Source organism: Homo sapiens, chromosome 19 (genome assembly GCF_000001405.40).
Source record: "Homo sapiens chromosome 19, GRCh38.p14 Primary Assembly".
Taxonomy (NCBI): domain Eukaryota; kingdom Metazoa; phylum Chordata; class Mammalia; order Primates; family Hominidae; genus Homo; species Homo sapiens.
The window spans coordinates 9,892,807-9,904,894 of NC_000019.10; the positions used below are offsets into that span (position 1 = coordinate 9,892,807).

General features: G+C 49.1%; 1 protein-coding gene and 1 long non-coding RNA gene across 3 annotated transcripts in view; one reads left to right on the plus strand and one right to left on the minus strand.

The window, feature by feature from the left end:
* OLFM2 (olfactomedin 2) overlaps positions 1 to 12,088 on the minus strand; it is an 82,798-nt gene that overhangs the window by 39,089 nt on the left and 31,621 nt on the right. The window lies entirely within an intron of this gene.
* LOC124904636 (uncharacterized) lies at positions 684 to 7,716 on the plus strand. The gene is made up of 2 exons (XR_007067135.1): positions 684 to 802; positions 7,397 to 7,716. It is a non-coding gene; the product is annotated as an uncharacterized LOC124904636 (long non-coding RNA).

The following is a 12,088-nucleotide window of genomic DNA, read 5'->3' on the forward strand; positions in this document are numbered from 1 at the left end:
CAACAAGTAGGGAGAGCAAACCTGTTCTCCCACAACTTCTCTAAGATAAGCCCATTTTCTGGTTCTCTCCTCACAAGGTTCTGGTCTGATCTGTCTCAGGATGTGGGTTCAGCCCTGGTCCATCTCAGGATTCAAGTTAAACTCTGGTCTATCTCAGTACTTGGGTTTGGCCTTGTCTATCTCAAGTCCACAGCGTAGCCCTGATCTACCCAGGACTCGGATTTGGTCCTGGCCCTCTTCATCTCTTAGAACCAGGTTTCTCTTTGGTCTCTCCCAGTTAAGCCTTTGTCTGTCCAAGGCTTGGGCTTGACTCTAGTCTGTCATAGAGTCAAACCACAAGGCATCTTTTATTTTTTTTCTTTTTCTTTTTTTTTTTGAGACAGAGTCTCGCTCTGTTGCCCAGGCTGGAGTGCAATGGCACAATTTCAGCTCACTGCAGCCTCCACCTCCCAGGTTCAAGTGATTCTCCCGCCTCAGCCTCCCAAGTAGCTGGGATTACAGGCGCCTACCACCATGCCCAGCTAATTTTTGTATTTTTAGTAGAGACTGGGTTTCACCATGTTAGCCAGGGTGGTCTCGAACTCCCAACCTCAGGTGATCCACCCGCCTCCACCTCCCAAAGTGCTGGGATTACAGGCGTGAGCCACCGCACCCGGCCAATCATGGAGCATCTTAACACCTTGGGGATGTATCTGTGTTCTGTTCCAGGACTTGAGTGAACCCCCCGTCTTGGAACCTGAGCTGAGCCTGGTCTATCTCAGTACCTGGGTACACCCTGCCCTAGTAGAACGTTCACAATCAGGTGAGGATTTCATGGCAGAAATTTCCCCTTCCTGGGCACCTTCTCACGTGTGGAGCACTTCTCTTAAAGTGTTTGGGGCCTCTTGGGTGAACGTCTACTGCAAATGATTGCTGTGTCTCAGGATTAATGAGGGTAAGGGGATTTCATTTCTCCAACGCCATCATGTAAAATTCATTAAAGCAGAGTTCGCAGGTCTATTTCAAGGATTATTACCAGGGTTTCTTGATGAGCTATTACACACAGCATAAATCTTCAAGAGGTTTCAAGACGTTACAAGAACCATCCTGAGTCTCACCTCATAGATACTAGAGTTGAACATCCCTCTATCTGAGCTCTCCCCAGCCTCAGACACCAAACCTCAGGTCAGGAGTTCAGGAGAGAGCATTCAAGAGGGTTTTCTTGGTCGGGCATGGTGGCTCACTCCTGTAATCCCAGCAACTTTGGGAGGCCAAGGCGGATGGATCACTTGAGGCCAGGAGTTCGAGACCAGCCTGGCCAACATGGTGAAACCCCATATCTACTAAAAATACAAAAATTAGCCGGCCGTGGTGGCGCACGCCTGTAATCCCAGCTACTCAGGAGGCTGAGGCAGGAGAACCACTTGAACCCGGGAAGGGGAGGTTGCAGTGAGCAGAGATCATGGTAACATGTGCTAAACAGGAAGGGTCAAAACCTGCTGTCACCTGAGCCCAGGTAAGTCACGGCTGCAGTGAAACCGGGATGGTGTCACTGCACTCCAGCCTGGGCAACAGAGTGAGACTCTCTCTCAATAATAATAATAATAATAATAATAATAATAATAATAAATAAATAAAATAAAGCCAGGTGCAGTGGCTCACGCCTGTAATCCCAGCACTTTGGGAGGCTGAGGCGGGCAGATCACCTGAAGTCAGGAGTTCGAGACCACCCTGACCAACACGGAGAAACCCCGTCTCTACTAAAAATACAAAATTAGCCAGGTGTGGTGGTGCCTGCTTGTAATCCCAGCTACTCGGGAGGCTGAGCCACGAGAATGGCTTGAACCCAGGAGGCAGAGGTTGCAGTGAGCCGAGATTGCACCATTGCACTCCAGCCTGGGCAACAAGAGCAAAACTCCGTCTCAAAAGAATAAAAAATTAAAAAAATACATAAATAAAATAACTTCCCACTCCTCGGTTGAGAACCACAGCTCTAGACTTAGCCTTGCATTTTCTCTTTATCTTTCTCTAAGGAGTCTGACCCTTACCAAAGCGTCCATCAACACCTGCCTGTATATATGTCCTCAGAGCTCCAATGCATATATTCATCATCTGACTCCTTGACCGCTCCCCCTGCCCCAGATATCTCTAAGGCATCTCAAGCCCAACATGCTCAAACTGAAGTGCACAGCCTTCCCTCCCTAACCTAGTTCTTATCCAACATTCCTTATGTCACCATCTCCATCCTCCCCACCCCCGGGCCAGTGGGTCAGACACCCGGGCATTATCCTCACCCTCATTTTACTCCCTCACCAAATCCTACTGATGTTAACTCCTAGATAGCTTTAGAATTCATGCATCATTCTTCATCTCTATCACCATGCAATGGTCCAAGCCACTTTCACAATTCAGCAAGTCTAGGCTGTGTGCAGTGGCTTATGCCTGTTATCCCAGCACTTTGGGAGGCCGAGGTGGGAGGACTGCTTGATCCTAGGAGTTTGAGACCAGCCTGGGCAACATACTAGGACCCTAACTGTACCAAAAAAAAAATTTTTTTTTAATTAGCGGGGTGTGGTGGCACACGCCTGTAGTCCCAGCTACTCGGGAAGCTGAGGTGGGGGATCACTTGAGCCTGAGAAGTCAAGGCTTCAGTGAGCCGTGATCACACCACTACACTCCAGCCTGGGTGACAGAGTGAGACCCTGTCTCAAATAAATAAATAAATAAATAAATGTAAAATATGACAAAACATTTAAATAAAAATAAAGTCTATTCGGTCTACCTCAATCTACCTTTTTTCTTGCTAGTAACTCTACACATGGGAGCTTCTGGGAAACTTTATTTATTTTTATTATTTATTTATATTTTTAGACCGAGTCTCGCTCTGTCGTCCAGGCTGGAGTGCAGTGGTGCCATCTCAGCTCACTGCAACCTCCACCTCCAGGGTTCAAGTGATTCTCCTGCCCCAGCCTACTGAGTAGCTGGGATTACAGGCCCACGCCACCACACCTGGCTAATTTTTGTATTTTTAGTAGAGACAGGGTTTCACCATGTTGGCCAGGCTGGTCTCAAACTCCTGACCTCAAGTGATTCACCCGCCTTGGCCTCTGAAAGCTGGGAAACTTTACAACGCACGTGTGATCATATTATCCTCCCGGCCAAAACCATATTGGTGGATTCCTTTTATTCTTAGGATAGAGATAAAACTCCTTAATGTCGCCACAAGAGCCTGTGGCTCTGCACTTTACTTACTTCTCTGCTTTCATCTGGTCTCCTCGTTCCCAGGCCTTCTTTACTTTATTTTAATTTTTTTTTTTTTTTTTTTTTTTGAGACGGAGTCTTGCTCTGTTGCCCAGGCTGGATGGAGTGCAGTGGCGCGATCTTGGCTCACTGCAAGCTCCGCGTCCCGGGTTCATGCCATTCTCCTGCCTCAGCCTCCCGAGTAGCTGGGACTACAGGCGCCCGCCACCACGCCCGACTAATTTTTGTATTTTTAGTAGAGACAGGGTTTCACTGTGTTAGCCAGGATGGTCTCAATCTCCTCACCTTGTGATCCGCCCGCCTCAGCCTCCCAAAGTGCTGGGATTACAGGCGTGAGCCACAGCGCCCAGCCTATTTTAATTTTTTTTAGAGACAGAGTCTTGCTCTGTTACCCAGGCTGGAGTGCAGTGGCACAAGTGTAGCTTACTGCAGCCTGGAACTCCTGGCTCAAGCCATCCTCCCACCCCGGCCTCCGAAAGTGCTGGGATTATAGGTGTGAGCCACCACCTCACCTGGCCTTGCAAGGCCTTCTTTAGTCCATCATATTTTCCATCCTTCCTCTTACCCCAGGGCCTTTGCATAAGCAATTCCCTCTGCGCAGAGCATCCTTTCCTCTCTGCATCAGATCTCAGCTCTTGCTTCCTCTGACTTCCAAATTACATCAAATCTCCTTATTAGAAGCTACTAGAGCACCAAGAATCTTTCCCTCAAAGCTGTTAATCACAGCTGCCAATTATATTTATTTGCAACTACATAATCATCACCTACCTCCCTGTTTTGCAGAAAGCGCCACACATCCATGTCTGTTTGGTTGAATATAATTTCTCCCTTAAAAGCATATAAGAAGTCCTCAAAAACACTTGTTGAGGGTGCAGTGGCTCACACCTATAATCCTAGCAGTTTGAAAGGCTGAGACGGGTGGATCGCTTGAGCCCAGGAGTTCAAGACCAGCCCGGGCAACATAGCGAGACCCTGTCTCTACAAAAAATTAGAGGATGTGGGCCAGATGTGGTGGCTCACACCTGTAATCCCAGCACTTTGGGAGGCCAAGGTGGGCAGATCACCTGAGGTCAGGAGTTCAAGACCAGCCTGGCCAAAATGGTGAAACCCCATCTCTACTAAAAATACAAAAATTAGGCAGGCATGGTGGTGCATGCCTGTAATCCCAGCTACTTGGGAGGCTGAGGCAGGAGAATCACTTGAACCCAGAGGTGGAGGTTGCAGTGAGCCAAGATCCCACCACTACACTCTAGCCTGGGCAACAGAGTGAGACTTCGTCTCAAAAAAAAAAAAAAAAAAAAATTAGAAGGCATGGTGGTGTGAGCCTGTAGTCCCAGCTACTCAGGAGGCTGAGGTGGGAGGATTGCCTGAGCCTAGGGAGGTTGAGGCTGCCGTGAGCTGGGATCGCGCCACTGCACTCCAGCCTGGACGACAGAATGAGACTCTGTCTCAAAAATAAAATAAAATAAAAACAAAATACTTGTTGAATAAATAAATACACGAATGGATAAATGGCTCCGCTGTTTTCAGGATCTAGTCTGAGTGACTTGGCCTGGCATTTGAGGCTCTCCATGACCTCAGGGGCTGAGCTCCCTCCCGGTCTCAGTAAAGGTCAGAGCAAAAACCCAAGGGCATGAGATGCCAGGTGGGGAATAATAATTCAGCAGAAGCAAGAAGTCAGAAGCACAGTGACCAAGACAATTCAGGCTCCTCCACAGAGTCACAAAAATCTTGGGGGACACACTGGCTTTCTTCCCATGGAGCATGGAAGGGGGTTCGGATCATTGTTACTTCCTGGCTATTAACATGCAGAGTGACCTGTCTGATGTCTGTTCTGCCTTGATTCTCCTTGTCTTTTATTTTATTTTTACTTTTAGACAGGGTCTCGCTCTGTCACCCAGGCTGGAGCACAGTGGCGTGATCATAGCTCACTGCAACCTCGACCTCCTGGGCTCAAGCAATCCTCCCACACCTCAGCCTTCCAAGTAGCTGGGACTATAGATGCATGCTACTGTGCCCAGCTAATTTTTTTTTTTTTTTTTGAGACAGACACGGGATTTCACCATGTTGGTCAGGGTGGTCTCGAACTCCTGACCTCAGGTGATACACCCACCTCGGCCTCCCAAAGTGCTGGGATTACAGGCATGAGCCATAGCGCCTGGCCCCAGCTAATTTTTTTAAAAAAATTTTTTGTGCTGGGAGTGTTGGCTCATGCCTGTAATCTCAGTACTTTGGGAGGCCAAGGCAGGCAGATCACCTGAGGTCAGGAGTTCGAGACCAGCCTGGCCAACATGATGAAACCTCTTCTCTACTAAAAATGCAAATATTAGCTGGGTGTGGTGGCGGGCGCCTGTAATCCCAGCTACTTAGGAGGCTGAGGCAGGAGAATTGCTTGAACCCGGGAGGTGGAGGTTGCAGTGAACAGAGATTGTGCCATTGCACTCCAGCCTGAGCAACAATGAGACTCCGTCTCAAAAAAAAAAAAAATTTTTTTGTGTGTGGAGACTGGGTCTTGCTATGTTGCCCAGGGTGGTCTCAAATTCCTGGGCTCATGCGATCCTCCTGCCTCAACCTCCCAAAGTTCTGGAATTACAGGCATGAGCCACTGTGCTTGGCCCCCTCCTTATCTTTAAGAAATTCTCCCTGGGCCTTATAAGTCTCTCCAGCCACCACGCCATTTCTGTGTTCCTCTCTTCCCCCAATTCATCACATCTGATCCATCAGCAAGTGCTGACGGCTCTGCTTCTGAGATGTACCAGTCTGCCCACTGCTCACCATTCCAGCTACCACTGTTCTGGTTCAGATAACACCGGGCTTGCTCGGTCCTTCTGATTCTACTCTCACTTCCGGGAATCCATTACCCAACCCAGCAGCTAGAGAGATCTTTAAATAATGTGAATCAGATCAAGTCCCTCCACCCCACGGCAAATCGTCCAGCAGCTTCTCACTGCGTTTGGAATAAAAGCCAACAACTTTGGGAGGCCGAGGTAGGTGGATCACTTGAGGTCAGGAGTTCGAGACCAGCCCAGCCAACATGGCAAAACCCCATCTCTACTAAAAATACAAAAATTAGACAGGCGTGGTGGCAGCCACCTGTAATCCCAGCTACTTGGGAGGCTGAGGCAGGAGAATCACTTGAACCCGGGAGGTGGAGGCTGCAGCGAGCCAAGTTTGCACCACTGCACTCCAGCCTGGGCAACAGAATGAGATTCCATCTCAATTAAAAAAAAAAAAAGAATAAAAGCCAACAGTTCACTGTGGCCAGAAGCCTCGAATGCAGTGTTCCCTGCCAACCTCTACAACTCCATTCTCTCTCCCTCTCCAGCCTTCTCTTTCCAGAGTGCACTATGCTTGTTTCAACCTCAGGGCCTCTGCACATGCAGCTCCCTCTCTCATGATGCCCGTCTCCCTGGCTCCTTCTCAATCAGCTCCCCAAAGAGCTTACCCCAGTGACCCAACATAATGGGGCTCACCCACTCATACTCTCTCCCATCTACTTGTTTTGTTCTTCTCTTTTCTTTTTTGAGACAGAGTCTTGCTCTGTCACCCAGACTGGAGTACAGTGGTGTAACCATGGCTCACTGCAGCCTCGACCTCTGGGCCCCAGTGATCCTCCCATTTCAGCCTCCCAAGTAGCTGGGACTACAGGTGCACGCCACCATGCCTGGCCAATTTCTGTATTTTTTTTTAGAGATAGGGTTTCACTATGTTGCCCAGTCTGGTCTTGAACTCCTGGGACCAAGCAATCCTCCCACCTCAGCCTCCCAAAGTGCTGGGATTACATATATATGTGAGCCACCACACCCGCCCCACCCCCGCCGGATACTGTTTAGCCCTCTGTACTGCGCTTATGGCCAGATGATAATTTCTTGTTTATTTGTTTGTTATTGATCTCCTCCCACCACAATGTCAGTTCCACAAGAGCAAGTGCCTTGTCTCACGTGTCCCCCTGGCACATAGTAGGTGCATAATAAATATCTGTTGACCGAATTGACAAATGAGCGAATCATGGCTTTCTAGGTCCCTGGAGCCCCAGCTATTGGGTTTTGTGAGATCCCCTGCATTCCTTACATAAAGCTCCTACTTCCCTGGGCCGGTTAGGAGGCTTTCAATTCCAAACAGACTCTCTGACTCCCACCCACCCCATGGCCAACAGGAGGCAAATGAAAATGAAGAGAGGTGTCAGGGAAGAGCTAACTGCCGAGAGAGGAAACCTGGGAAGGGGAGGAGAGGGATGACTTGAAAAGATGGACCTTCTCCAGCTGGAGCAGGGAAGGAGAGAAACTGACGGAGCTGCATCAGTGGATGATGGAGGCACACCACGGTGGACACAAGCACACGCAGGAGGTGTGAGAAAAGGCTGGAAAATGAGACAGAAAAGGGCCGGGATCTCTCTGCACCACACTGGTGGAGAATATTCATGATAGTAATCATGATTCGACTCAATAAAAACCACGGTCTCTACCACGCACTGCACCCTTCCTTGTGCCGGGCACCTTTCTTTGCATTGCCCCCCATACTTAGCTCTGATGGGGGAAAGGTGTGAAACGTGATGGGGGTGGGGAGAGAAATCCCAGCTAAAAAAGGCTGGTGAAGCGCTTCGGGTGGCTGAGGCAGGAGGGTCGCTTGAACCTAGGAGTTTGAGACCCGCTCGGACAACATTGTAAAACCCTGTCTCTACAAAAAAATTAAAGATTAGCTGAGCATGGTGATGCATGCCTGTAGTCCCAACTACTCAGCAGGCTGAGTTGGGAGGATGACTTGAGCCCAGGAGGTTGAGGCTGCAGTGAGCTATGATTGCAGCACTGCACTCCAGCCTGAGTGACAGAGCAAGACCTTGTTTCAAGAGAGGAGAGGGGAGGGAAGGGGAGGGAAAGGGAAAGGGAAGGGGAGGGAAGGGGAAGGAAGGAAGGAAGGAAGGAAGGAAGGAAGGAAGGAAGGAAGGGAGGGAGGGGGGAGGGAGGGAAGGAGGAAGGGAGGGAAGGAAGCGGGGAGGGAGGGAAGGGAGGGAGGGAGGGAAGGGAGGGAAAGAAAGAGAGTGAGGAAGGAAGGAAGGAAAAAGGAAGGAAGGAAAGAAAGAAAAAGGAAGGAAAGAAAGAAGGAAAGAAAAAGAAAGAAAGGAAGGAAGGAAAAGAAAGAAGGAAAGAAGGAAAGAGGACGGAAAGAAAGAAAGGAGAAAAAAAAAAAAGGAAGGAAAGAAGAAAGAAAGGGAGGGAGGGAGGGAAGGAAGGAAGCTGGATACAGTGGCCTGTGCCTGTAATTCCAACTACTTGGGAGGCTGAGGAATTAGACTTGCTTGAGCCTGGAAGGCAGAGGTTGCAGTGAGCTGAGATCGCGTCACTGCACTCCAGCCTGGGCGACAGAGTGAGACTCTGTCTCAAAAACAAACAAACAAACAAACAAACAAACAAAAAACATAATGAAAGAAAGGTTGGTGTGGTGAGCAGGGCTGTGCTCAGGGCTCTGTATTCCTGGCTCACTATCCAGGATGGCCGAGAACTCAGACACCCACCTGACTCTGAACTTCCCTCTGTACTCCTTTGAAAAGAGCCTGAGGGCACTTTTGAGGCCACCTTTGTTGGCTTTGAGATCTCGCTTTGCCAGGAGTTCAGAGAATTTCTGGAGATTTGGTTATTTGTGTTCCAAAAGAGCAGCATGTAGGCATTGGAGTGCACAGGGATTCTGCAACCAGATGTGGACGCCTGTGTTGTTTATCCACAGGCACCTGTGAATTCCCACGTTTAGGGCACATGTGGAGTATCTGGACATGCCTGTAACTAGCTATGCACATATGTGCACATCAGTGGAAATCCAGGGAAACGCCATTGTGCATTAGAGGATATGTATGTCTGTGTGCTGTTGCCAATGGCAATAAACATTCCTTTTGTTCACACATGTTCACAAACATTCTATTTCCATAGATTCTGTGTACAATTCGTGAGCCCACAAGTCAACCTGCGTAATCACTTTATATACTGACTATATATATATATATATTTCGAGATGGAGTCTCGCTTTGTCACCCAGGCTGGAGTGCAGTGGCGTGATCTCGGCTCACTGCAAGCTCTGCCTCCTAGGTTCACTCCACTCTCCTGCCTCAGCCTCCCGAGTAGCTGGGACTACAGGCACCCGCCACCAAGCCTGGCTAATTTTTTGTATTTTTAGTAGAGGCGGGGTTTCACCGTGTTAACCAGGAGGGTCTCGATCTCCTGACCTCGTGATTCGCCCACCTCAGCCTCCCAAAATGCTGGGATTACAGGCGTGAGCCACTGCGCCCAGCCGACTCTATATTGATATTGAGGACACTGGATATATCTGTGTTTACTTGCCTTCATCTTTTTTTTTTTTTTTTTTGAGATGGAGTCTCACTCAGTCGCCCAGGCTGGAGTGCAATGGCGTGATCTCGGCTCACTGCAACCTCTGCCTTCTGGGTTCAAGCGATTCTCCTGCCTCAGCTTCCCGAGTAGCTAGGATTACAGGAACCCACCACTGTGCCTGGCTAATTTTTATATTTTGTATTTAGTAGAGATGGGTTTTCACCATGTTGGCCAGGCTGGTCTTGAACTCCACTCAAGTGATCCACCTGCCTTGGCCTCCCAAAGTGCTGGGATTACAGGTGAGAGCCCAGGAGTTCAAGACCAGGTGGGAGGATCACCCAGCCTTTTCTGGTTTCTTTTTAGAGACAAGGTCTCACTGTGTCACCTAGGCTGGAGTGCTGGTGCGATCATAGCTCACTGGAGCCTCGACTTCCTGAGTAGCTGGGATTAAAGGCATGCACCACCATGCCTGGCTAATTTTTTATACTTTTTGCTGTAGAGACAGGATCTCCCTATGTTGCCCAGACTGGTCTTGAACTCCTGAGCTCAAGTGATCCTCCTGCCTTGGCCTCCCAAGTAGCTGGGACCACGGGCGGGTACCACCACGCCCAGCTAATTTTTGTACTTTTTGTACAGACAGCCTCGATTTCCTGAATAGCTGGGATTACAGGCATGCACCACCATGCCTGGCTGATTTTTACATATTTTGTTGTAGAGACAGGATCTCACAATGTTGCCCAGGTTGGTCTTGAACTCCTGGGTTCAAGTGATCCTCCCACTTTGGCCTCTCAAAGCGCTGAGATAATAGGTATAAGCCACTGCACCTGGCCATTGCTTTTATCCTGGATAATTCTGCAGCCATGGACAGAAGTGCACATACCCATACTCACAAATAGCTCTGCCACATGTGCCAGCATGAGAGCCCATCACACAGGTGAACGCCTCCCTGTGAACACCCATGGCCCTCTGTGTGCTCTCCTGAACAGCCAGGTACCCACATGTATGCTCACCAGGAGCCAAAAACATGTTATTCACTAACATGTTAATCACACAGAAGCCACACACTTGCATCCATTCAAGTAACAACTGTGCCCTTCCATGATTAACTCTCCACACCCATTTGTTCAGCCGCCTGTATCCACAAACATTCCTACGCTCCTTTCAGGAGGAACTGGCATCTGTATATATCTGTCAGCTGCCATCTTAGGTCTCCCCAACGAACTCATTAGCATTGCGGTGAAACCTGAAATATTCCTGCAGAACTTCTGCTCTACTAATAAGCCTGATGTCCTGCTGAGGTCACATGGCACTTACGAGGGCTAATGGAGCCAGCCTTGGCCAGCAAGGTAGGAAACCCTGGACTCCTGGAATAGCCAGAGAATGTCTGGCTATTTACTCCCAAGAATAAACAAATTTCCTTTCCTTCTCACTGCACCAAGTGCCCCAGCCAGCATCTATCTGCAGAACCAAAGTCATATTTAAGATACATTTTTGGCCTCAATACTATCCTGGCATCACACTAAAGGCTACATCTACTTGTTATTCTACTGAAGGTTGCATTACTCTGATGGGCACTACACTGGGAGCTGCATCACCAGATTTGTCATTATACTGAAGGCCACATCACTATCATGGGCACTACACTGAGGGCTGCATCACCAGACTTGTCATTATACTGAAGGCTGCATTACCTGGTTGGGCATTACACTGAGGGTTGCATCATCAGACCTGTCTGAACCACCCTGTTAGTCTTGCCCTTAAGGCCTCCAATCCCAGGCTGAGTATTGTTTGTGTGTGTGTGTGTGTGTGTGTGTGTGTGTGTGTGTGTGTGTGTGTGTGTGTTTTGAGATGGAGTCTCACTCTGTCGCCCAGGCTGGAGTGCAGGGGCAGGATCTCGGCTCTATGCAACCTCCGCCTCCCAGGTTCAAGCGATTCTCCTGCCTCAGCCTCCCACGTAGCTGGGATTATAGGCATGTACCACCACGCCCAGCTAATTTTTGTATTTTTAGTAGAGACAGGGTTTCACCATGTTGGCCAGGCTAGTCTCGAACCTCTGACCTCAGGTGATCCACCCACGTCTGCCTCCCAAAGTGTTGGGATTATAGGCGTAAGCCACCATGCCCAGCCCAGTCTGAGTATTATACTGAGGGCTTCATAACTAGAAAGCTAAACTTAACAGGCAACACTTTCCCTCAGCACTGGTAGCTCCCCTGTGTGTAGTGTGAAGGGGCAAGCAGAAGTGGGGTTGAGAAGTGACTCTGAGGGGCCTGGTAGGACTAGAGAGATGAGGAAAACTGGGGACTCTGAAGCCACACACTGGGGGTGGGAAGCCAGAGGACAGAAAAGCAACTATTATATCAAGAGTTGGAATTCTGGCCAGGCATGGTGGCTCATGCCTGTAATCCCAACACTCCGGGAGGCCAAGGTGGGAGGATCACTTGAGGACAGGAGTTTGAGACCAGCCTGGGCCACATAGTGAGCTCCATCTCTATGCAAAATTTAAAAATTAGCCAGGTGTGGTGGTGCACACC